We start from the raw sequence: 27,356 nt of genomic DNA on the forward strand, positions 1-27,356 counted from the left end.
CACTCCCAGCCTATTCTCTTAGATGTTTCCTGTTGCTTCTTCATAGAAAACGCTTCCTTTGCTGGAGCTAAAATCAGAATGGCACCCCCGTGGAACTGGCTGTGCTGACAGGTACCAAACTTTCTGTCACTGGAGGCATTCAAGACATAGGCAGACAATACCTGGCAGGGATATCATTTATGGTTTAGACTAGATGCTGATGAACTTCCTCTGACCCTCAGAACCTGATCTTCTGTCCATGGGGGCTACACTCTACCTATTATATCTGACTTGGGAGTGTCCTGCTCAGATCTGGGGCAGACCCACTACCCTAGGGCCCCCTGCACTGATGGAGACTAAAGGACTTCAGCACCCTCACTGCCCATCAGTGTTCATGGGTCCAGTCTTCACCACACCTGAGCCTCCTCTTCTGGACATACTCCAATGCTTTTGTTATGTAACCCCCAGGACATCAGTTTCCCCTGCAGAATGGAGATGTTAACGCCAGGCATTCCAGCTTCGCAGAACTGCGTAGGGACAAGATGACATCATCTCGCAGGCACCTCAGAAACCACCAAATTCCCCTTCACTGACTTTGCTCTGGAGGATAGGCTGAGGTCTGGGGAGCAAGGTTCTGCTTAAGGTCGTATATGAAACACCGGCCGACCCAGCCCTTAAATCCTGGTTTCTCAGTCTACAGTCCTGTACTTGGAGCACACTCATGTACTGAGGGGTCTCACATCATGACGAACCCCAGTTTGAGTCTTGCTAGTCACTGGCTGTGTGGTTGGGGCAAGTCATGTCACTTCTTTGTGCTTTGGTTTTCCTATCTGGGCACTATAATGTCCCCTTAGGGAGCTGCAGAGCGGATTGGATGAGACAGCATGTGGGAGGAGGCCAGGCTCTAAGAAATCAGGCTGTGGAAGCAGCATGGGGCTGGCAGTTTGGAAATGCCCCTGAGCTAAGAGACAAGAAGGTAGAGGGGACTAGATAGCAGCAGAGCATCTTGAAGGAGTTGGGGTAGGGAAGACAGAGGTTACAGGAAATGGCAGACATTTTTTGTTGAATTAAACCATTAGGGGTGACCCCCAAGGGGTAGGGAAGGAGTCTTGTCTTCAGAGGATCTCCTTGTTAAGGTCTGACTCATCCTGCAGTCCTTCCTGAGCCACTAGCAGAGCTGGCTTCTCCTCCCGGGCTTCCTTGAATTTTGTGATACCTGCTGACAGAAAAGCTTTTCAACACCATAGGGGAGATGAACAAACTTGGGTTTGAAAGCCTTACTAACTGTTTGACCTTGGGGGAGTCACTCATGAAGGCTTAGTTTTCTCAGTTGTAAAATGGGCACTAATAGTGTCAACCACATGACTATGCTGTGAAAATGAAGTAGCTTAATATTGAGAATGTGTATAAACAAATGGAGCCATTGTTGTGATGACAATGATGACATCCGGTTATTCACTCACTCATTCATTCAAAAACCCCACAATGCATTCATTCTCTGAGTTCTTGATGGACGCTAGAGACACCACAGGGGTCAAACACTCCCTGACTCTCAGGAGCTCAGAATCTAAGTGATCAGTGTGCAAACCCACAATTCCAACTCAAATATAGTGCAAGTTCCTGGGGTTGGGGGGTAAGGGAGATAATCCTATCAGGTCCAGAGGACACACAGGAGACCCCAGGCTGCCAGCAGTCAGGGAAGGCTTCACAGAGAAGGAAACACTTAAGCCGAGAGTTGAAGGAGAAGCTGACTTCGCTCAGGTGGACAAGCTAGGAAAGACACCCCAGGCGAAGAGCACAGCATCTTCCACACCCAGAGGCAGGAAAAATAATGGGGACCCCTAAGCAGATTGGGGTGGTTGGAGCATAGAGTAGCATCCTGCACCCAAGACCCCACTAGGGTCTTAGGACCATCTCCTCACCCAAGTGGCCGTGGAGAGTCACAGCCAGAAGGACCCTACAGGAGGGCTGTGTTTTGATGACGATGATGATGATGATGATGATGATGATGATGATGATGATGTGAAAATGACTTGTTGCTGGCAGCACTGTCTAGGCCCCGCTTCCTGAAGAGTGCTGCTTGCAGTTGGCTCGCAAATGCTCCCATAGGTTGGAGGTGCACAGGCAGTAGGAAATGGAGGCACTCAGTGCTCTTGGTAAATAGGAAAGAGCTCTGCAACAAGAATGCCCATCCAGGAGGGCCCTGAGGCTGCTGAGTTCCCCCCGTGGGGCTGTATCCACCACTATGTCCCCTGGACCTAGCACAAGGTGGCATCAGTACTGTGAAGTGAGGGGGACCTTCAGAGAGGGACAGGGTCACACAGTCATCCCCACCGGCCTGCTCCTGCTGGCCTTTTCCGTCCCATCCATCTGGTTAGGCCGCTGCTGCCACTCCCCTGACAACCTGGTGGACAGCATCCTCACACAGGAGAGCTGGTAGGCTAGGCTGGCGGTCCCCACTGCCCTCCCCAGCTTCTGACCCACTCCCTTCACCCACCCTAGCTCCCGGGATTGTCCGTGGGCAAGCGGCAACCTTCCAAGGAGCCTTCAAAGCCATCCTTGTCTTCTTGACGAAAGGCATCTGGGGCCTGCCAACCCCTCCTCTGCCTGAGAGGGAAACACAATACGCCGATAATGATCTAATATTTATACAACGCCTTTCTACCAGATGCATCCCAACAAAGTTTACAAGCTGTCCCTGCTGACGGCGCAATGTATTCCAGATCCTCTCCAGCCCCTGCCCCACCCTCGCCCTGCGGCCCCCACTCCCTCTTGGGCCTAAATGCCAGCAGAGGCTCATAAATCCACCTGAGGGATAGGAGAGCCCAGCTGGCCTGAGGGACCGGCCCTTCTCTGACCCTCTCAGGCACTGCCCTGCAGGGGCATCATTTATGCTCATGACTGGGGGAAAAAAAGCCGGCCCGAGGAGGGGCAGGGCCGCACTCGGGTTTTGAAGTGTGGCCAAAGCTCACAGCACCCAGCGAGCCTCTCCCCTAGCCCTCCACAGCCTCAGACCCGTGGGAGGGACAGAGGGAGGGCCCGGCTGGCGGGGCACAAATGTTCCTCCCAGTCACTTCCTCTGCAGCCGGCTCCATGAATGAGGATTTGTGTTCCTTCCCTCCCCATAAATTGCCCTTGGTCACCAGGGCCATGTTCTGTGTCAGAGTCCCTGACCACCAGTCTTGGACAAAACTTGCTTTGTGAAGTCCGGGTGGAAGACAAACAAATGATTATTACCTTCATTTATCCCCTCCCCCCACCTTTTTTTCTTGGCCTGGGGTTAAGACCTTTTTTCTCTGTCAACAATCTTGACTTTGTTCCCCGAGAAGGAAACAGCTCTGGGAGCGACTTGCAGAGATGCTGCTTGCAAGAAAACCGTTTGGGAGGAGGGTGAAAAAAGACAGAGGTTACAGGAAATGGCAGACATTTTTTGTTGAATTAAACCATTAGGAGTGACCCCCAAACCAGAGCCAGGCAGAGGGAACAACTGGATACATTTAGGTCAGGACAAGCAGCCAAGTGAGGAGCTGAAACCAATTACCATAAATGAATGTTTCTCTTTTATTCACGACCACCGTGCCTGTTCCCAGGATGCTCTTGGGCGTCTTATAAAAACAGATGAACTCTCTGGTTTTGTTCGGGGAGTTATTAGCTAATGCAACTGTTGGGCAATTTATCAAACATTAGCACATGCTGTGATTAATGACCAAGAGAAGTCGTCACCGGCTGGTCCAAAGCCGTAGAGGCTGCCTGGACTTCAGGGCTTAGGGTAGGGTCTTCTCCTTGGTAAGAACTTTATTTAGGAAGTTGTTTCCCTAAAAGTAACAGCCATCCTCAAGTCCACCCCCTGTGTAGGGTTCTTCTGGTCATGACCCACTTAGGTGAGGAGATGGTCCTAAGATGCTGGTGGGGTATTGGGTCCAGGATGCTGCTCTGTGCTTTGGCCACCCCAATTGGCTTAGGGGTCCCTATTGTCTTTCCTGCCTCTGGGTGTGGCAGATACTGTGCTCTTGGCCTGGGGTGTCTTTCCCAGCTTGTCCACCTGAGCAAAATCAGCTCCTCCTTCAGCTCTCAGCTCAAATGTTTCCTTCCCTGACTCCTGGCAGCCTGGGGTCTCCTTCTGTGTGTCCTCTGGATCTGATGGAACTGTCTTTCCTCACACTCCATGTTCGAGTCGGATCTGGGGATGTGCACGTTGATCACGTAGATTCTGAGCTCCTGGTAGTCAAGGTGTGTCTGATCCCTTGTGAAGTCTCTAGTGCCCAGCCAGAGCTCACAGATGGTTTGCATGGAGGGTTTTTGAATGAGTGAATGAGTGAACGGCAGACCCATACACAGCAGTGTGCTGCTGTGACTCCTATAGTGTTAGGCTATATAAAGCACAAAAGCAAAAGCTTCGTGGTTCTCTCAGCACAGGTTCACCCTATTGTGGAGCTGCAGGAAACAGGCATCCATCTGAGAGCCACACAGGGGAGGAGTCTTACTGAGCGTGGCAGTTGTGCAGCTACTTTCTTTCTGCAGGCCTCAGTCTCCTCATCTGTGAAATGGGCTAGTAACATATCCAGAGCTTCTTGAGAGGAAAGTTGCAGAGGGCTACATGGTTTTGGGGACATTTCCAATTCAAAAGGAGAGGGAAGGAAGCAAAGTGAATTAAAACTGTTCTACTCTTTGCCCTTGAGTAACTCTGACTTGAAGAGAGGGATGGTTCAGCTTCTTCACAGGCTGGGCATTTGGCTAAAATGACCCCGTGTGTCGGGGGGAGGAAAGAGCTGATCTTCAGAATCAGGAGGAGTTGCATCCAGTCCTGCTCAGCTGTGTTCTTGCTGTGTGACCTCACACAATTCACACCATCTCTTGGAGCTTCAGTTTTGGTTCTGAAAAATGGGACAATAATACTTCACACCCTGGGGGATGTCAATGTCTAAAAAGTGCTGAGTTCAGCTCTTGGCCCAGAGCAGGGTCTCCTTCAATAGTAGCTTCTGTTATTGTTATTAAATATATTAACAAATGTCACCGGCAGGTGAGAAGCATCTTTGTTGTTTGTTGCAGACAAGATATTTAGTACGACTCTTGCTGTTACAGAATTAACAGTCTTCCTCCCTGCTAATTCCCCCATATATGTTTCCGACCTAGCAGCGGTCCCTTTGCCAGGCTGCAGCGGGCCTGTCCCTGCTGAGCTGCACCATCCCAGCCTGCTGGGGCCGACGTCTGCCAGAAAAGCAGACCACCTTCTCAGATTTTCCATTGCAGCTGGGAGAGAGACAAGGAGGTCGGGCTGGCAGAGCAAATTACAAAGAAGCCTCTGGCTCTAGCTCCCACTCTGGCAGGGCAGGCCCCTCATGTGGTGGGCGAGGCACTGCCAAGGAGCTGGCCCCAAATGGGTCTGGAGCAGCAGGCGTCCACCCACCAGGACATATAGGAGCCCCTGAGTTACCCTGGGTTAGCAAAGAGCAGGGAAGTACGCAAGCAAGGCAGAGAGTGTCTTCCTGTCTGCAGAGAAGGGCCAAGGTTTGAATCCAGGCTCTGGAAGACTTCAGGCAGGTTGCTTCTCCTCTTCCAGATGCAGCTTCCTCTATCTGTAAAATGGGAACAAATGTGGGTCCACAGTCCCTTATCTGACATGCTTGAAGCCAGATGTATTTGGAAGTCAGAACTTTTCAGATTTTTAGGGTGTAATGTTGTATATACCATACTTTATAAAACAGCCACAGCCGGGTAAGGGGAGCAGCCTGTAAACAAGCGCTTGCTGACTTCTGCAGTGAATTGGATGAATACGCACATTAAGTAGAATTAGTAAAGATCATAAATAGCTTCATGTAGGTTCAGGCTGGGATTTTTGACATGAAAACAATTTGCTGCAAATTTATGGAAAAGCTCTACTTTTTCTGATCTTCTTGGATTTTGGAATTGATAACAGACTAGGGATCTGTAGTCTATGCCATGGGCTTGTGGTGAAGACAGCAACAGAGAGTGAGCATAAGGCAGCTTGCAGATTTTCAGAAAATGGGAAGTATTTGTTCCCCCAGACTGGAGGTTCTCCACCTTGGCTACACATTGGAGCCACCTGAGGAGCTCTAAAATCTATGATCCCCAGACCCCACTCCCTGGCAGCATGAAATCTGCAGCTGTGGGCCTGCAGCCCTGGCAGTGATGTTTCAAAGCACTCCTTGGGTGATTCTTTTCTTCTTTTTAATCTTTTTTAAATGAAAGCTTTATTGAGACATAATTCACTTACCATACAATTCACCTTTTTAAAGTGTATAACTTAATGGCTTTTAGTATTTCAGAGTTGTGTAAGCATCACCACCATCAATTTAAGAACATTTCATCACCTTAAAAAGAAGCACCATATTCTTTTGCTTTCACTAACTTACTCCTCCACCTCCCCAACCCTAAGCGACCACTCATCTGCCTTCTGTCTCTACAGGTTTCTTATTCTGGACATTTCATATAAATGGAATCATACAGTATGTATGGTCTTTTGTGACTGGCATTTTCCACTTAGCATAACGTTTTCAAAGTTGAAGGTTCATCCCCGTTGTTGCATGTATCAGTACTTTATTCTTTCTATGGCTGAAAAACCTAATTTGCTGTATCCATTTATCTGGTAGTGGAGATTTCGGTTGTTTCCACCTTTGACTATTATAAATAATGCTGCTGTGAACATTCGTATGCAAGTTTCTGTGTGAACATATGTTTTCTTTTCTCTTGGATATGTAACCAGGAGAGGAATTATTGGGTCAAATGGTAACTCTATGTTCAACTTTTTGAGAAACTGCCAGACTTTTTCCCAAAGTGGTTACACCATTTTATATTCCCACCAGCAGTGTATGAGGGTTCTGATTTCTCCACGTCTTTGTTTTCTCCGACTTTTTGATCATAACCATCCTCCTGACTGTGAAGTGATATCTTATTATGGCTTTGATTTGTATTTCCCTGATAATTAATAACATTGAGCATCTTTTTATGTGCCTATTAGCCATTTTTCTATCTTATTTAGAGAAATGTCTTTTCAGATCCTTCATCCATTTTAAAATTAGCTTTTTAAAATTATTGAGTTTCAAGGGTTGTTTATATGTCCTAGGTACAAGTCCCTTGTCAGACATATGATTTACAAATATTTCCTCTCATTCTGTGCATTCTCCTTCCTCTTTCTTGATAGTATCCTCGGAAGCACAAAAGTTTAAAATTTTGATAAAGTCCAATTTATGTATTGTTTTCTTTTGTTGTTTGTGCTTTTGGGGTCATGTCTGAGGGCTCATTGCCATATTCAAGGTCTCAGAGACTTATCCATGTTTTCTTTGGAGAGTTTTATAGTTTTGGCTCCTACATGTAGGTCTTACATCCATTTTTAGTTAATTTTTGTATATAATGTGAAGTAAGGGTTCAACTTCATTTTTTCGCATATGGCTATCCAGTTGTCCCTCCATAGGTGGTGCATGTACAGTTTGAGACTCACTACATTAGATCATTAACCCCAGGAAGGCTGAATTTGTGTTTTCTATGTCCTAGAAAACCACAGCAGCAACACAAGAATGAGTGAATGGATGGACGGATGGATGGATGGATGGATGAGTCATGAGGGCAAATGTGCTATGAGTCAGAGACTCTGTCCCGACAGAAAATAGGTAGGTATTGATGAATATCAACCTCCTTACTAGGGAGAACCCCCTCTTGGTATGGCAGAGCTTGTCCAGACTCTTTTACTTTACCTTTGGTGGTTAGGAGCTCCCTCTCCACAGAGCTAGTCACTGGGGAGGCATCTTGTTGACCCGTAGGAAAGTTTATTCTCACACAGAGCTGAAACCTGCCTCCTTCGTGTCTTCGCCCCTTCCCCCAGCCCTGGCTCTGCCCTCTGGGGCCCCCCGCCAGTGCTTCAACTTCCTTTACTGTGGGCCAGCTCTGACGATTGTGTGACAATGAGGGTGGCTGGCTGTGGCTTCCTCTCCTGCAGGCTGAGCAGCACCCACTTCTCACAGGGTGGGATTGTCAGCCCCTCATACCCTGACTGCCCCCTGTGCATCCATCTCAGCCACCCCTGTTCTGCCAAAGGGCAGGCCCAGGACCTGACACAGTCCACCAAATGGCATGTAACCAACCAGCTCAGAGAAAAGCAGGTCGTGTTTTCCCCCTCCTTTTGGCCTGTAGTCTGAGCAAGCAGTGTGTTGCTGTTGCTATTTTTCATTAGCCCCAACACACTGCTCGCTCAGATTAAGCTTATGGTACTCATTAACAATATATGCAATGTATCATTTTATTATGCTATATCGATATCATCAATATTATTATTAATGATATATTAGGCTCTATTAATGCTGATGATGATCATCTACTGAGTGTTTACTCTGTGCCAGCATTATGCACAGTGCTTTATAAATATTGTCTCATTTGGTTTTTTTAAAGGGATTTATTTTTGTATCCATTTTAGAGAAAAGTGAGTCTCAGAGCAGTGAAGTAGCTGACTCAAGGCCACCAAGCTTGGATTTGCACCTGTGTTTGCCTTCAAAGACCCTGATTTCGAGCTCTGTGCTATCCTGCCTCCTGATGACTGTCCTTCCTGAGGGCAGTGCTTCCCCCAGTGTTTCCAGCCTGCCTCTCTGTTTTTGCTCACAGATTTCTGACCAGTCAAGGATGAGCAGAAGCAGAGTCCTTAGTATTCCATTCTAACCCCTGCGCAGCCTAAATAATAATGCTTCAAGATTGTGCAGTGGGTTGGGAGCATCACTTACAGGCATTTGTCTTTGGACCCCTGGCACTTCCTCTGTGGACTGAAGAGGCAATCACCATAGCACCTTCCCTTTCCTGGCACTTGCTGCATCCCAGAGCAGGGTCACCAGGCATGTGGAGCCCACCAACCCTTCAAGGAGGAGTAGGCAGGGTATATTGTACAGATGGGCAAAGAGCCCAGCTGGAGCCAGACTGGACCATGTTTTGCAGCCTTGCCCTCCAAGGAGGCACTGGCTGTTCTCACACTGCCAACCTGGCACAAGCCCCTGTGGCTGTGAGCAAGTTGGGTGTGGCATGCAGAACCCTTGGAGGCTGGCACGTGTCAAGAGAAGAAAGGTCCTTGGAACCACTTTGCAAGTTTATTAGGCACATTTTCAAGGCCCAAACAGGCTCCAAGAAGTTACAGAAATAGCTGGTGATTTATTTCCAGTCAGTGTAGTTTGACCAATTCAATTCACTATAGCATACTAGAAATAATTCCTATCTTCTCATCCACTCTTTAACTTATTCATTCAGTGATTCTCTCATTCATTCATCACTATATTCAATTATTTTTGCTTGTTCGCTCATTCATTTTCTCATTCATTCATTTACTCCGATACCTACATAGGTCTACTTCCTCACCTCTTTTAAGACTTTTTCTCAAATGTCACATTCATAGTGAGGCCCTCTGTTCTATCCCCCACCACAGGAAAAGCCCTTTACCTGTTTTAATTTTCTCCATGCATTTTCCTAATATACTATCTAATTTACTTATTTGCTTTTTCATTGTCTGACTCTGCTGATTATAATAAGCAGAGATTGGGTCTATTGCTTTTATGACTAGGTCCTCAGTGCCTAGAATAGTGTCTGGCACATAAGGGGATTGATAAGTGTTTATGGAATTAATGAATCTGTTTATTTTATTCAAGAAATACAGTTCTGAGAGTCTGCTGGATAGACAGTTGTTTTTGAAGGGGGTCAGGATCCAGGACAGGTGCTTGGGATAGACGCTCGTGGGGTGAACTTTGAAGGCTGGGGATGCCTGTGTTAACAGAGATAGTGATGGGTGACTGGTGGATCATTGTAGGCTGATGGGACAGCTAGTACACAGCAAGTGGAAAAGTACAGGCTGTGTTTGCAGAGATGCTCCTGAGGCCAAATGGCTGGATTTGGTGAGTAATTGAATGTAGGGGCTGAGGGTGAGGGAAGCCTTGGGGATGACTGAGGTTGTGTGTTGGACAGTCTGGGTGGAAGTGATGTCATTAACCAAGGGAGACATCGGGGGCTTCGAAAAAAGGAAAGACAATGGCTTCAAGACCTCTCTTTCAAAAGCAACTTTCAATTACAATTTGACCCATGTTTTTTGTGTTGTGTTGATTTTATTTTTGATTCACATTGTCTGCTTCTGCCAGGCGCCTGGAGAAGAGGGTGTTTTGGGCACCTCATCCATCTCTGCTGTCTTACATCTTGGTGTCTGTGAAATGTGGCTTCTTGGTTCGAACGTGAAAGGGGTTTGCACAATGGAAGACCCGCCCATAGGCTTTCCTTTGCCGTGGCTGGCATGAGCTGTGGTGAGACTGGGATGGGAAATGAGGCATTAGAGTTTGACACTTGGACTTTATTGCCTCCAAATGATTGTCTGCCTTTTGAAAATTATAGAGAAGCCTGCTTTGGAATTTTGAGCAAACATCAGCCACAGCTCCACAGCTATGGATTTTATGTGAAATTACAGCCAGAAGAGGAGGAAGAGGGAGAGGGGCAGCTGGAAGTCTCCCTGGGAGAGGAGTCTTTGAAGGGCTGTTCCCTGGCAGAGCAAACAGATCTGTTCTGCAGGGTCCCTGAAGGAGGGGACAAGGAGGAGGCTCTAAAGCCTATAAAAAGGTCCTCTCATAATCAGATATTCCCAAAGATGAGATGGGTTGACTTTGAAAGTAGTGAGCTCCCTGATCTGTGAAGTATGCAAGCAGGGGCTGAACAGATAATTATTAGAGAGCCTGCAGAGTGGCTTCTTGTTCTAGGCGGGTAACTGGAGTGGACTTCACTTTGAGGTACTTCCAGGACTCATGTTCCAAGCTGCTAAGAGATTTCAGAGATTAAACATGTCGCAGCATTGCCATTGCCCCTCTTCCAACTCTGAGACATCCTCCTCCTCCCACGATCCAAATCCATGGCCTTGAATGATGGAAATTAAGACATCAAGAACAGGTCATAGTAAAAGTGTTCCAACTAATGAATGAAAAAAAAAAAAGACAGAATTTGGTATCACCCACTACTTTGCAATACCCACAGAATTAATGGAGCTAGACACTGAACATCAATGGCTGCCAACAATCTCAGAAAGAGACACAGCCAGACCTTGTGTGTTCCCGATGAAAGCGCACAACTCCACCGATCATCTTGCCAAAGGGGTTTGAGCCTAAGTGTGATCTACTCTCTGGATCCAGCTGCCAATTTGAAGGAAAAACAGGACAGAAGCACATGGTGAATGGCATCATGAATCGGCTAGCAGCAAAATCCAGACTATGGAAACTCTTTTTTTTTTTTTTTTTTTTTTTTTGAGACAGAGTCTCACTCTGTCACCCAGGCTGGAGTGCAGTGGCGCGATCTCGGCTCTCTGCAAGCTCCGCCTCCCGGGTTCACGCCATTCTCCTGCCTCAGCCTCCCGAGTAGCTGGGACTACAGGCGCCCACCACCACGCCCGGCTAATTTTTTGTATTTTTAGTAGAGACGGGGTTTCACCGTGTTAGCTAGGATGGTCTCGATCTCCTGACCTCGTGATCCCCCCGCCTCAGCCACCCAAAGTACTGGGATTACAGGTGTGAGCCACCGCACCCGGCCTGGAAACTCTTTAGGTCAAAGAGCCAGGGTACTTCCATGGATAAACTGTCAGGTAGAGCAAGGGATGGCAGTGGAAGGCTGGGGATTACAAGAGACCTAAAAGACATCAAATATAGGAAATGAACATGACTGAATGATAGTGTCTAGGGATGTACATTTAGGTGATCAAATTATAAGGAAAAGCAAGAAAATAGTAATTACAAAAGTTAGAATTGGCACGGTGGTTCATACCTGTAATCCCAGCACTTTGGGCGGCCGAGGCGGGTGGATCACAAGGTCAGGAGATCAAGACCAGCCTGGCTAACACGGTGAAACCCTGTCTCTACTAAAAAATTGGCCAGCCGTGGTGGTGGGCACCTGTAGTCCCAGCTGCTTGGGAGGCTGAGGCAGGAGAATGGCGTGAACTCAGGAGGCGGAGCTTGCAGTGAGCAGAGAATATGCCACTGCACTCCAGCCTGGGTGACAGAGTGAGACTCCGTTTAAAAAAAAAAAAAAAGTTAGAATTTGTGGTTACTTTTGGAGAAGAGAGAGGAGGCACCTGGAGGGGCTTCTATGGTGACGGACACAGCTTTATTTCTTACCTTGGGAATGGTTACAAAGGTATTCACCTTAGAGTGATTCATTAAATGATATGTTTGCTTTGTATGGTTTTCTGTTATTTTACAATAAAAGGTTAAAAAGACTAAGTCACAAATATGGCATTCTGGTCTTACCCCCCAAGCACCTGTATATTGGCAGCCCTTGTCTGCTCAGAGTTGGGTGACCCTGACTGGCAGTGGTCTCTTTCTTCCAGTTTCCAAGACACTCTGAAACACAGAGACAAAGAGATAAAGAAAATGGAGAAACATCCCTATGATGGAAAAAAATAAACAAACTCATTGCTTAAAAACATCAGCAACAGTAATAATAACAATAACAAAAAACCCATCTGTGAAATTTACAGGTCTCCAGTTAAGCTGGTGCGTCCCTTCCTAATTAGTCCTTCCCTGGATGAGAATGGGTCTGGGTCCATGTTGGGGAAAGGTGGTGGTGGTGATGGGGGTAGCTGGGTGCCTGTGAGAAGCCTGAGGCTGTCTCCTCTGTCTTTCCCATCCCCTGAGACCACCACTGCCCAGCAGTATTGGCCTGGGAAGCTCTGCATGGCCCCTGGGCTGCTCAGTCTCCTGGGAGAGGTGCTACTCTGTTTCCTGTGAGATAAGGCGCAGGGATATATTTAGATAAAAGCAAAGTGAAATTGAAATCCCTTGGGAAATCCCTTGGGAGGGGTGGTGTGGAAAGATTCCGGAGCCTGCTCAGCGGCTCCAAGTTTTACAGTCTGGTGAACATAGAGCCTGGCCCTTGTCCGCGCTGAAGGCAGCCACCAGGGCACCAGAATTGCGGGTGTGTGTGTGTGTGTGTGTGTGTGTGTGTGTGTTGGGAGTCCTGAAAGGGACAGGCTTGCTTGACTCCTGCTCTCAGGGGCTCACATGAGGACTTCCTGGGATGGGCCTGGCAGAGGCAGCAGCGGAGAGAGAGCCCTGCCACTGTCCTGAACACTGCAGTGTGATTCAGGGAAGCCATGTGACTTCTCTGGTCCTCTGCTGTCTCATCTAAAAGAGAGGGGATGAAATAAGATGGCCCGGAGTTCCCTCTCAGTTTTCACAGTGAGGGACTCTAAACTGCAATATTTCTCTGGCTCATATTTCTTTGACCCTCATGCTGGGTATCAAAGAGCTTTCTTTCTACAAAAAGCCTGTAGCTTATGCTCACACCTCCCTCTTGGAGGAGGTGCTGAGATGCCTTGATATCTAACCTTCTCATTTCTTAGAACTGTTGAAAAGAAAGTGCATCTCTAGCTTTCCTGACTCACTCAGAACCTGTGGTGCCTGCACATGTTGTGAGAATTAGGAAAAGATGCCCCTGTGCAGGCATTGCCCAGCATGCTCATAGTGAGGCTGCTGCAGAGGGGATGGTATCTTTGGAAAAATTGAAAAGAGGAGCCCTTTTCGCCCCCCACCACCCCCCGGCAAAGGACACAGCCCTGTGGCAATGCACATAGCTTGGAGAGCAAAACAAGAAATGAATTTTTCAGCCACCATTTCCCTCTTGGCAGGGTGTCTTGAACAATGAACAACCTGTACAACTGCACATAATGGACTGTTTAACTGCTTTGGGCTTCTGAAGGGGCCAGGCATCCATTCTTGCTCCAATAAATGAAAATAAGCAAATAGAGAGGAGTCTTCAGAGAATTCCTTTCCACATGAGCTCCAGTGCTCAGCATGGGGTCTGGGAGAGAGTAGGATCATGGATTACTCTACATCATGGTTACCAACTTCAGCTAGGACCCAATCACAGTCTGCAGCCTTTCTGTTGAAGTACACAAATTCTCTTCTCTCTTCTCAGATCTTCACCCACCCTTTCCATCCTATCCTCTTACCCAGAAGACACCTTGTTCCCTACTCACAGAGACGCAGAAGGTGCCACATGAGACTTTCCTCAGCTTCCCACAACCAAAGCTATGTCTAGTTCCACCCTCACCATCATCCCTCCTTCCTCACCGTCTCCAGCCACTCAGCCCTTCTCTGCATTCTCTGGATTTCTTCCCGACTTCTTCTGCTGCCTGACTCCTCTCTTACACCATTCAGGTCTCCCTTAAGCATAATTTCTTCCAGGGTGAAAAGGAGGTGGTAGGGAGCTTCCCTGATGCCCTGTCTGCCCCTGTTAGAGGAGAGTTCTGTCTATTACAAACTTCAGTGGCTTTCCTTCCTTTTGCATAATACTCTGTGCATTTGCAATTTACTTCTTCAGTTTCTCTTCTTCCGTGGTAGACTGTGGGTGCCCACGGCAGGGATGGTAAATGCCTCCTTCACTTGCGACAGCTTCAGTGCCTAGTCCCTAGCCTGGTATGTGAAATGGGGGGCAGGGCTGGCATTTACTGTCTGTGGCTGAACAAATGTGTGACTGTGTGTGAAGTGAGGTATAAATGAATTTGGGAATGAATGCTATGAGTTCCTGTGGCTCGCTCCCCTTGACCTCATTTGCAACAGGGACCCATGGATCCCACAAAGATAAAAAATGGAAGGAACAGTACTGATTGTCCAAGTCTGTCCTGCTATTCTACCGCATAGGAAACTGAGACCCAGAGAGAGTAAAGAGGAATGGGCCTGCCTAATGTCACGTGGCCAGGAAACAGCAGAGACTGAGGTCCAAGTCGGGCTCCTTGCCCTGGTCTAGGGCCCAGAGGAGAGAGGTCGTTCAAGAGAAAATTTATTGGGAGTAGCTCCTGTAATACGAAGTGGTACCTCCATGTATACAGCCATTTAAGCTTCTGAAAGACTGCCACTGCACCCTCTCACTAGCTCTGCAAGATAGGCCATGCATGGCTGGCCAGCCCCTCTGTTTAAATGGAGAAACTGAGCCCTGTGCTCCTGGAGTGGGGCTGGGGCTGCTGCCTCCCTCCCATATTCCTGGAGAAGATCACCTCAAAGGAAGTGAAGATATTTTTGAAAGTGTGTGTGCGTGTGTGTGTGTGTGTGTATGAAATGGGGGAGTTTTCAGCATCAGCTGAGGATAGAGAGGGAGGCTGGGGTCAGGGGGGCCTAGAATGACAGGTTAAGGAGTCTGGGTTTTGCCCAGTAGTGGAATGGGAGCTACCAATGGTGTTTGGTCTGAGGGTGCCATGCTGGGAGTGGGTTTTCAGGAAGGCACCTCTGGTACATGGGAAGGTGGGAGGGTGGGTGTGAATCTGAGACTCAGGTCGGGGGTGCAAGCTTGATTTCTCTCCTCCTTTGGGTGGGCAGCTGGCAGCCTGCTGGGCAGGGCAGGGTGGGTGGGAGGCAGATAGTGGGGGTGAGCTCCTTAAGAACAGCATCAGCCTTCAGCCTGTGGAAGGATAAAGAGCTCACGTTTGGGAGCAGCCAGCCAGCATGTGTCCTGGGACTGGGCTTCCTAGCCACACACTTTCCTGTAAGGAATCCCACCCAGAGCTGTTCCTCCCAGGCCCAGCCCTCTGGGGAGCGGGGAAGGCGGGGCCTGGCTGTTTGCACTGCAGGGAACCAGGTGGGATGTCCGGGTCCCTTTTATTGTACTGCCAGGGGCACTGAGGGAACTTGGTGTGTAGGGTGTGTGCCCGTGAGAGTAAGACGGACTGGGGGCACCTGAGAGAGGTGTGTACAAGTGTGAGGCTGTGTGTGCATGTGAACAAGAGGACATCTCTTGCAATGTGTGTGAAGCTGAGTGTGGGTGAGTGTGAGATTGTGTGAGGCCTCTGTGCATGAGCATGAAACGGCACAGCAATGACAGGGGGTGTGTGTGTGTGTGTGTGTGAGTGAGTCTGTGAGGTGAAGGTGAGTGTGCTTGTGTAACTTTAGTGTGTGTGTGCCTGTGGGGTGAAGGGGTGTGTGTGTGTGTGCCTGTGGGGTGAAGGGGTGTGTGTGTGTGTGTGTAACTGTAGTAGGTGGGTGTGTGTGAGCCTGTGAGATGAAGGTGAGTGTGCATGTGTAACTGTGTTGTGTGTGTAGTGTGTGAGTCTGTGAGGTGAAGGTGAGTGTGCGTGTGTAACTGTTGTGTGTGTGTAGTGTGTGTGTGAATCTGAGGTGAAGGTGAGTGTGCATGTGTAACTGTTGTGTGTGTGTAGTGTGTGTCTATGAGATGGTGAGTGTGCGTGTGTAACTGTGTTGTGTGTGTCTATGAGGTGAAGGTGAGTGTGCGTGTGTAACTGTGTGTTGTGTATGAGTCTATGAGATGAAGGTGAGTGTGCGTGTGTAACTGTGTTGTGCGTGTTGTGTGTGTCTGTGAGGTGAAGGTGAGTGCGCATGTGCGTGTGTAACTGTGTTGTGTGTGTGAGTCTATGAGAAGGTGAGGTGCATGTGTCACTCTGTGTAGTGTGTGAGTCTATGAGATGAAGGTGAGTGTGCACAACTGTGTGTTGTGTGTGTGTAGTGTGTGTGTCTATGAGATGAAGGTGAGTGTGCGTGTGTAACTGTGTGTTGTGTGTGTAGTGTGTGAGAGAGTCTGAGATGAAGGTGAGTGTGCATAACTGTGTTGTGTGTGTAGTGTGTGTGAGTCTGAGGTGAAGGTGAGTGTGCGTGTGTAACTGTGTTGTGTGTGTAATGTGCGTGTGGGTCTGTGAGGTGAAAGTGTGTTTGCGTGTGTAACTGCATGGTGTGTGTGCGTGAGATTCTGTGTTGTGTGTGCACAGCCAGCAGCATGTAGAGGCAGGGAGGCCTGGTGGAGCACACCTGCTTCCCGGTGACTCCAAGTCTTCCCAAGGGTTTTCTTCCTTTGAAGTGGGCGGCAGGAAGGAGGGGCACTGAGAGCTGGCAGTGAGGGGCCAGCTCAGAACCCAGAAGCCCTTTTCAGGGGATCGAGCATCTGGGCCGCAGAGGCCCTCGGAGATCCTGCTGCCCAGCTACAGCTCACCTGCAGCGCCTGCAATGCCGTCGGGGCTGAACAGGCCAGTGCTGTAGCTGCCTCCCCGCCAAGGCCTCTGCCTGCTGCACCTGCTGCCCTGACCTGTGTGCTCCCTATTGTAGCTGAGCCCAGGACTGGGGCAAAGAGGCTAGGAAAACCTTGCCAGGTGAGCAGTTTTTGGAGCTGGCACAGTGCTCAAAATAAAATGAAACAAAACCTGGACTGGAACTCAGGAGTCGTGGGCCTGTCGCAGACCTGCTGGTGATCTTGAGTAAGCCCCTTGCCCACTCTGGGTGCCGAATGGATGAGCCTGGATGCCCTCTCAAGATCAAAGGGAACGATGAGGCCTGTCTGATCTCCCAGCTTCAGAGGCAAAGTCCTGTGACCCATTGAAAGTAATTTTATCTCCCAGCTCCTGAGCGCAGGTGCTGAGTGGGATTCAGTGAAGGGCTGGCGCACGGGGAGGGCATCAGGAAGTGCTAGAGGAACTGGACTGGGGACTGATCCCCTGGGGCTACTGAGTCTATGCCCCAGGTAACTGGCTGGGCACAGACTTCATCCCCAGGCTCTGGGAGAGAGAGGGGGAAGGGGAGGCAGGGCTGCCACTAGCCCTTAGGACTTGTTCGTGCGAATTAGAACAATTAGAAAAAGGCGCTCAGTGAGTGGAGCATCCTGGCAAAACCGGACTGGTGAAGGTTCTGCGCGCGTCTGCCAGGTGCCAGGGAAGGTCTCCCAGCGGTCTTGCGCGGAAGGCGTTATCAGCCCCGCTTATTAGATGAGGCGGCGCCTGCAGTAGAGGGGGCCGTCTCCGCAGGGTCTGCAGCGCCGGGGCCCGCACCTCCTGCTCCGCGGCCCGCCGCCGCCAGCCCGGGGCTGACCTCTCAGAGCAGGGCGGAGGATTTTCACAGCACAGCTTCCCGAGAGAGCGGGATTAAGGGGGAACTGCTCGGGTGGGCCAGAGCCAGGGGCTAGGGGGAGGCCGGGCGGAAACCCAAAACCTCCGCAGCTGTTTCCAGTTTGCCGCCCTGGCTGGACCGCGGTGGCTGCGTGCAGAGCGAGCAAGGCTGCGCGGGCCTGGAGCGCCCACGGGGCGCGGGACCTCTCTCTGTCTCCCCCCGCCCCGCGGGGCTCTCTCTCGTCCTCTCTGTCTTGGTGGGGCTCAGTCTGTCTCTCGTTTTCTCTCCCTGTTTCTAAGATCTCGTGGAATCAAAGACATTTTGGAGGTCTCTGGTCCATCTGAAAGGGGGATACTGGGTTCACCCGATCCCACGCTTTGCCTTCTAGAGCTTGCTGCCCTGGACACCCCCCACCCCATTCCCCCACCCCGACCCCGCCCCTCGGCCCCCAGCTCCAGGCCCGCCAACCCCGCCAACCCCGTTGCACTCCCATGCAGAGAGGTGGCCCTCCAAGCCCAGGGTTCAGAGCTCAGGTCAGGAGTCCTGGCAAGGGCTTTGGGGACAGGCTTTGCCTCCCAGCCAAACTCTGCCCTTCAGGCCCACACCCTCCTCTCCTGGGCATCTTTTCCACCTGCCTGCACCCCTAAGCCCCAGGCTTACCCCATGGGAGTCCCCATGAAGGTCCAGGGTCCCAGCACTGACTTTATACTCTAGGCAGAGGCAGGAAACCTCCAAGCCCCGCTCCCACCCAGGAGTCAAACCCTGGAGACAGCTCAGACAGAGATTGAGCAGTAGTGGAGGAGCCAGGGCCTGCGCTCTGGAGTCATACAGATCTTGGTGCAAATTCTGCTTTGCTGCTTACTAGCTGTGCTCCCTTGAGCAGACACCTTGAGCCTCAGTTCTAAGATGAGGGTGTACTCAGGAAGCAGTAGGTGCAGTGCTTGGCGCAGAATAGGCTTCAGGGCACAGGGGTTCTGCTCAATCCCTCTACAGCCCAATACTCCATATGATCCCATCACTCTCCTGTTCTAATGCCTTCCATGGCTCCCTAGTACCTATAGAATAACCCAAATCCCTCTATTGACAGTACAGGCCTTCTATGATGGCTTCCAAATCCACCTTTCATGCTCTTACCTCAAAAGCACTAGAGAGAGGCTGGAACAACACACTCCACGTTCTCCTACTGCCATGCTTTTCCTCAGTCTGTAGCTGTCACCAGGAACACATTTCCCACAACCTCCTGCTTGCCCACATATTTATGCAACTTAAGGTCTGCAAGGCCTTGCCTGGTGCCTTTCCTAGTCAATCTGCCAGAAAGGAGTGGTTTATTCCTTGCTTCACTTGACCATGCAGCTTCACAGACAATCAGCCAGGCCCTCAGCTGGGCAATGGGGTCAGAGAAGAGTAAGACCAGCCATATACTTGGGTAGCTCGAGTCTGGGGGGTTAGACCAGGTTCATCCTTGGCATCTGGCAGGTGCGGTGGTCTTCCAGGGAGGGGAGCATGTGGGCAGGTACTGCCGAGGGCAGCTGGCAGGAGCCGAAGTGGGTACTCTCCAAGAGCTGGCTCTGGCCCTCTCTTCTCTCCACAGCATGTGTCCCCACCAGACCTCATCACTTACCAACTCATCCACAGTAGAACTCCTGGGTTGAGCCTTAGAGTTTAAACTTCAAGTCATAAGCTGGGGCTGAGGCCACTGGTTTGCCACCTGATATAGTTTGGGTATTTGTCCCCTCCAAATCTCATGTTGAAATTTGATCCCCAGTGTTGGTGGTGGGGCCTAATGGGAGGTGTTTGGGTCATGGAGGTGAGTCCCTCATGAATGGCTTGTTGCTGTCCCTGAAGTAATGAGTGCATTACTGTTAGTTCACTGGAGAGCTGGTTGTTTAAAAGAGCCTGGCACCCCCGCCCCACTTTCTTGCTCTATCTCTTTCTATGTGACACACCTGCTCCCCCTTCACCTTCTGCCATGATTGGAAGCTTCCTCAGCCCTCACCAGAAGCAGGTGCCGGTGCCATACTTCTTGAATAGCCTGCAGAACTGTAAGCCAAGCAAACCTCTTTACTTTATAAATTATCAAGCTTCAAGTATTCCTTTATAGGAATGTAAAATGGACTAAGACCACCTTAGACAGGAAGCCCCTCCACAAGCAGGGGTTTCCAGCTTCCAGTAGCTCTCCTTTAGGCCAAGGAACTCAACACCCCCAGATGGGCGAGGGAAGAGTCAGCTACACCCATGTTTGAATTTTGCTTTCATTGCTTCCTTGCTTTAAAACCTTGGGCAAGTTCCTTAACCTGCTATAGCCTCAGCTGCTGCTTCTGGAAAATGATGATAAATAGAGATAATATAATAGGAGGTAATATAGAACAGTGCTTCTTAAACTTTAGTGTGCATCACCTGGAGGGCTTGTGAAAACAGATTGCTGTACTCCACCTAGGAAATTTTGATTCAGTAGGTCTGGGATGGGGGTTCAAGAATTTGCATTTCTGTCCTGCTCCCACTTGACAGCTGAGGGCTGCCAGACTACAGACCAAGTGGCACCGATGTAGAAAAAATGGACCAATACTGTTGTATTAGTCCATTCTCACACTGCTATGAAGAACTAACTAAGACAAGGTAACTTATAAAGAAAACAGGTTTAATTGACTCACAGTGCCACAGGCTGTACAGGAGGCATGGCTGGGGAGGCCTAAGGAAACTTACCATCATGGTGGAAGGGTGAAGGGGAAGCAAGCATGTCTTCAGATGGTGGCAGGAGAGAGACAGAGAGAGAGAGACAAGCACAAGTGCAAAGGGAGAAGTGCTGCATACTTTCAAACAACCAGAACTCATAAGAACTCAATCACTATCACGAGAACAGCAAGGGGGAAATCTGCCCCTATGATCCAATCACTTCCCACCAGGTCCCTTCCCTAACATTGTGGATTACAATTCAACATGAGATTTGGGTGGGGACACAGAGCCAAATTATGTCAACTGTCAGTTGCTGTTACAGTGTTGCATGACATGTGTCTGGTGCTCTCACCTCTTTGGGACAGAGCCCTAATTTATCTCTTTCCCACTGACTTGGCCCACCTCACCTGGCTGGGCCTGGGCAGCAAACACTCTCCCGGCTGCTGGTCCAGCAGCCTGTGTTGTCAAAGTCAAGTCCTTATAAACCTGACAGCCGCCCACAAGGCCACAAGATGAATAGTCATTTTAGCTCGGTTCCAGAAGAGACACAGAGAAGCCAGGCCTGGGGTATGGGATGGTCAGGGAAGAGGAATCATCTCAGGCCTATGACAACCCTCTCAGATCACTCACTGAGGGTTCTCCTGGGCTCTGTGGCCACCCCTGGGCCAGGCCACAGTCCAGACCCCTGCTATTAAAGCATGTCAAGAAGCCACTTTAATTCTCAAACTAAAAAGTCACAATGGCGGACATCACCGAGAGCTGGCTGCTTGGCACTCTGGGTAGTGCTCAATGTGCTTTTTCTTTAGTTCTGAAAACAGGCTTCTGAGCTTGTACTATACTTGTCCCTTAAAACTTAGAAGTCATTATCCTCAGCAAACTAACACAGGGACAGAAAACCAAACACCACATGTTCTCATTTATAAGTGGGAGCTGAACAATGAGAACACATGGACACAGGGAGAGGAACAACATACACTGGGGCCTGTGGGGGTAGGGGTCGGGGGAGGGAAAGCATTAGGAAAAATAGCTAATGCATGCTCGGCTTAAACCTAGGTGACGGGTTGATGGGTGCAGCAAACCGCCATGGCACACGTTTACCTATGTAACAAACCTGCACATCCTGCACACGTACCCTGGAACTTAAAATAAAAATAAAAATTAATTTTAAAAAAGTTCAGTGAAGGCCGGGCATGGTGCCTCACGCCTGTAATCCCAGCACTATGGGAGGCCAAGATGGGTGGATCGTGAGGTCAGGAGATAGAGACCATCCTGGCTAACACGGTGAAACCCTGTCTGTACTAAAAATACAAAAAAAAATTAGCCGGGTGTGGTGGCAGGCGCCTGTAGTTCCAGCTACTCGGGAGGCTGAGGCAGGAGAATGGCGTGACCTGGGAGGCGAAGCTTGCAGTGAGCCAAGATCACACCACTGCACTCCAGCCTGGACGACTGAGCGAGACTCCGTCTCAAAAAAAAAAAAAAGTTCAGTGACTTGATCTAGTTCATATAATGAGAAGACAGTACTTGTTTAAAGTCATAGAGTGAGTTTTTTTGTGGGGTGAGAGGCTAGGACCAGGAATTCTCCCCCGGGGTGCTTCCTCTTTTCCTTACATACCTATGACCATGGTGATGGTGGCACGCTGTCTTTGGTGGAAGATTTGAGGTAGCTGTACCAGGTGTGCCACCAAGACGTGAGGGGCTGGCTGTCGTTGTAGTACTGTGTGTGTGAGTGTGTGTGCTTATTTTTTGAGTCCTTACTACACGCCTGACAATACATGCATCTTATTTGAGCCTCAACCCACCCCTAATGTAGCAACCATCCTGATCCCCCTTTTAGAGATGACGTCACTCAGAGCCATCTTTGGTGCTTATCTCCCCAAACACGGAGCCTCTGCACACCTCGGGATTCCACATCCCCCCTCTGAGAGTACTGCCCTCACAGAGTGTCCTGGTGACCCTGGGCAGCTGTGCCCCTTTCTTGGTCTCCTCTTCCTTAGTCAAATAAGTGCTGGACCATGATCTTAAAAATCCCATCCATGATGCAGAATGATAAGTGCCCTAATCATGGTGATACCCTGAGACTGATCATAGCCTCAGGCATGGGGCACTATTGGTCGCAGGGGCACATGGAGAGTAGGTGCAGCATTGCAGCTTTTCTTCAAGGAAAATCTTTTGTCCACAAAGCACCTTTATTCTGTGAAGCTATGAAATTCTTGTGTATGATTATTTAGAATTTGGAAAAGGAAATAGACTCCATTTTTGTTCAGAAAAGTACAACACCAAAATGTCTATAATGAAAGACTTTTAAAGCCACCACTAAATGTGTAAGGCTCCTGACCTCAAAGGCAAGGCAGGAAGCATTTGTCCTCAGGGCTCAGAAACGGTGGGTGAGGATTGCCTTTATACTCACCTCCAAGGCTCTAGGGAAGTTTGAAGATTTGACTTCAGCTTTGTGCAGCCAGGGCCTTTGGCATTGCTTTAGGTTTTATTACCCAAACAGAATGTGTGTGAGTGTGTGTTGACCGGTCTGTGGGCCAGAGTGTGAGCCCGTGCCAGGATGAGCATGCGTGTGTGGTATGTGTGTGCTTGTAGGTGACACAGGCTGCATGTGATATGCATGGGAGGGTTGAATGTGTCTGACTTTGTTCCTGGGTGTGTGGGGTGGCCGGCATGGGGTAAGCGACTCCGGAAGGCCTTGGAGCTCCATGTATGTTGCCTGGCTCTTCGGGAGTTTGTTGTGGGTTTGTGGAAGGCTATTATGTGAGTGGTGACTGGATAGCAAAGCTGACTGGGACCTGATTAGGACACTAAACAAATACAAGAAACGTATGATCTTCTAAATCTCCCCAGAGCTGAGGTTTGGGTTGATAAAAAGGCAACAGTTTGAAAACAGACCATCAAACGAGACCGTTTCTGATCTACTTTTTTTGCTTTAAAAAAGAAACCAGCCCCAAATGACAGTGCAATTAATGCAAAAGTTCTGGCTTTCACAGAAAAGACATCTCTCCCCAGGGAGTCCAGGGCACAAAGCCAGTCATGAAGCCAGAAGGAGGAGTACAGGGGCCATAGGATTATGTGGCATTCTTGAATTTCCCCCACATTGCCCTCAATGGGTCACTGCCCATCCTGTTGCCACTGCAGGGTAGAAAACACCAGTGACAGTGATAATAACACATGCAGTGAATGGATCAACCCTTGAGCTTTCCACCTTCCCAGTTCCCATCAATCCTTGATTGCATCTGAGATATAGATGATTGCATCTGAGGGAGAGAGCTAACAGACCAGGAGGAACAATAATTTAAAATAAGCATAGTGAGAGTCCTCAAAGAGACAAAGTGGGATATGGGGACCATGAAGCACATCCAAGTAATTACAGAGGAGAAACAAGGGGAGCTCGTGTATGAGAGAGTTTATCACCAAAAACCTTCACTAAAGGAACTTCTAAAGGCATATTTGGGAAGAAGGATACTGAACCCAGAAAGAGGGAATGTGATGCAAGAAGGAACGCTGGGTAAGAAAAGTAAATATGAGGATACATGTAAACAAACACTGACTGTCAAACAATAATATAATATTAAGGATTATGACTAATTGGGGGTCAAAAATCAAGGTAGAACTAAAATACTGGAGAATAATATTGTATAAGATGGGAAGAAGAGTAATTTAAGTTGAAGCATTCTAAAGTCTTTGTATTGTTGGGGAGGAGGAAAAATATTACTTCATTTTAGATTGTGTTAAGAATGCATGTTAAAAATTTAAAGGTAACTAGTAAAAAAGTAGAAATAAAATGTATAACTTATAAACCAGTAAAGGAAAAAATGAATTAAAGAAAAGCCTTGATTAATTCAAAAGAGGATGGAAAATGAAAGTAAATAAAGAAGCAAAGAGAAGCAGGGTAAGCAAAAAGCAGAAAATAAGATGGTAGATATAAACCTAAATATATGAGGAACTGCAGTAAATGTAAATGGATTAAAATCTCTAGTTAAAAGATAAGGATGGTAATATTGGGCAAAAATAAACAAATATGTCTATCTACCCCATTTTGGCTGTATGCTATTTACCCCAAACACACTTAAAACATAAGGACCCAGAAAGGTTAAAAATAAAGTATTGGAAAAGGATGTCGTGAAGATAAATAAGACTAACGAATGATCCCTTAATCGCCAAATCCAGCAGTTTACTAAAACATTGTGACTAGTTGTGTTTATTTCATTAATGCAAAGATTATGTAACATTTTGAAATCTATTAACTCAATCCCAAATATTAGCAAGTTAAGAGGAAAAAAAACCAATGGTCCCAATGAATTAAGAAAAAGGATTTGATGAAATTCCATATCCATTTATGATAAAGATCTCAGCAAACTAGTAATATAAGGGATATTTCTAAACCTGAAAAGAGGTTTCTACCAAGAACTTACAGCTAACACAGTATGTGGTGGGAAAATATTTGAAGCACTTTCTTTAAAATTAGGAATTATGCAAGGATATCTGCAATCACTGTTTCAATTAAACGTTGACCTGGAATTCCTCACCAGAATAGTAAGGCAAGATAAAGAAATAAACTAGATTGTGATTGATTATGATAGGATATAATGATCTATGTAGAAACCTAAGAGCATCTACAGACAAACTATTAAGATGAGTGAGAACTAAGTGAATTTGCTCACTACAAATAAGATCAATGTACAAAAATCAATTGTATTCCCATATACCACAACAAAGTATTAAAAATAAACATTTAAAAAGATAGCATTTATAATATGCACAGAAAACATAAGGTACTTAGGAATGAATCTAACAAAATATATAAGAGACCTTTTGGGAAAAAATATAAAACTTTAAGATATCAAAGATCCAAATAAATTAAAAATATATAATATTAATGGATAGGAAGAGTCAATGTTATGAAAGTGCCAATTTTCTCTAAATTAATAATATATTTATTAGGATTAAAATAAAATACCAACAGTGCGTGTGTGTGTGTATGTGTGTATATAATTTTTAAAACTTATTCTAAAATTTACATGAAAGAACTAAGGTTCAGTAACAGTTAAACAATTGAAGAAAAGAAACAAGGTGGTTAAATTTGCCCTAGCAAAAAGTAAGACTTATTTTAAAATCTTGGTAATTAAGACAGTGTGTACATCTGGAATAGATATGGTTGTATAAATCAGCATATTTCTCCTTCTCTTAGAAATCATCCAAAAGCAACAAAAAGGATGAAAAAATAAACTCTATTTTTGGCAAAACTTGAGGACAGGTATTACCCAAGACTCCCAAGTATGTGTAAGAATTGTCCAAAGAAGCTGAGATTAGGAAGAAAATAAATAGGAGGAAATGAAGAGAAAGAAGCTCCCAGAAAGATCTCTTTGATGAGATAGCTAGGCAAAAATATTCTTCCTAAAGGTAAGGGGTATATATTCAGAGATGCAAAAGCTATATCTCCTATTTTCAAAAACAGGTGCGATAACTGGAGTGAAACGTGCTAAAGGGAAAAGACTTCTTGGACTTGATTTGGTTGAGAAAAACTGAAGATGCAGGTCTACACAAAAAATCATAAGGGTGAACCTCTTTTCAGAAGCAATTTGTTTCTGTGGCAGCAGAGAAGAGGCCCTTCTAGTAAAAACCAGCAAGTAAGGGATTCCATCTTGCCCTAACCAAAGTACTCTCCTGTCTGGCAGTGGAAAATCTAGGAAAACTGAACTCAACTTATTCAGTGCTAGCAAAGATTTTTAGTGCTATGAGGAGTTATAACAAGGATCTAACAGAGCATCAATACAAAGATATTATAAGAAATGCATCAATACAAAGATAATTTTTTGTACTAAGATAAAAGGAAAATATTCAGAAGTTTATTAATGGACAAGGACTCCTCCCCAGAGAAAGGTTGCCACAGAGCAGATAAAAATTGGGACCAAACATTATCATGAATTTAAAAAATCTTTTTGGAGCTATTGCCTATATGAAGTAAGACAACAAAACAAAGATGAAAGAGCCCAGGGAAGAAAAGGTATGATTACAGAAAGAAAAAATACATTAGCTGGCAAAATCCAAGAAAGGATTATTAAAAAAAAAATCCAGAAATGAAGATAGCTTAGAATGAGTACAAAGGAGAATGTACTTTGAGGAAAACAGTAAGTGAACTAGAGGATAAAAACGAGAAAAGCAAGCAAAATGAAACAGGAGAATATTTTTAAAAAGGATTGGGGGAAAGAAAATGATTAATATATAAAACAGGCAATGGGGGCAGTTCCAAGATGGTCGAATAGGAACAGCTGCAGTCTACAGCTCCCAGTGTGAGCGATGCAGAAGACAGGTGATTATTGCATTTTCAACTCAGGTACCGGGTTCAGCTCACCAGGGCTCGTAGGACAGTGGGGGCAGGACAGTGGGTGCAGCACACTGAGCATGAGCCAAAGCAGGGCGAGGCACTGCCTCACCCAGGAAGTGCAAGGAGTCAGGGAATTCCCTTTCCTAGCCAAGCAAAGCTATGACAGATGGCACCTGGAAAATTGGGTCACTCCCACCCTAGTACTGCACTTTTCCAATGGTCTTAGCAAACGGCACACCAGGAGATTATATCCTGTGCCTGGCTCAGAGGGTCCCACGCCCACAGAGCCTCACTCATTGCTAGCACAGCAGTCTGAGATCGAACTGCAAAGCGGCAGCGAGGCTGGGGGAGGGGCGTCCGCCATTGCTGAGGCTTGAGTAGGTAAACAAAGCGGCCGGGAAGTTCGAACTGGGTGGAACCCATTGCAGCTCAAGGAGGCCTGCCTGCCTTTGTAGACTCCAGCTCTGGGGGCAGGGCATAGCCAAACAAAAGGCAGCAGAAACCTCTGCAAACTTAAATGTCCCTGTCTGACAGCTTTGAAG

General features: G+C 47.5%; 1 annotated feature.

Moving 5' to 3' along the window:
* Positions 14,983-15,523: an enhancer, noted in NCBI's record as "H3K4me1 hESC enhancer chr1:48056158-48056698 (GRCh37/hg19 assembly coordinates)". NCBI's record gives its function as "activates a minimal SCP1, AML or CMV promoter by ChIP-STARR-seq in primed H9 embryonic stem cells {active_cell/tissue: H9 hESC(primed)}" and the evidence as "EXISTENCE:reporter gene assay evidence [ECO:0000049][PMID:30033119]".

The sequence above is a fragment of the Homo sapiens genome, chromosome 1 (assembly GCF_000001405.40).
Source record: "Homo sapiens chromosome 1, GRCh38.p14 Primary Assembly".
Classification (NCBI taxonomy): domain Eukaryota; kingdom Metazoa; phylum Chordata; class Mammalia; order Primates; family Hominidae; genus Homo; species Homo sapiens.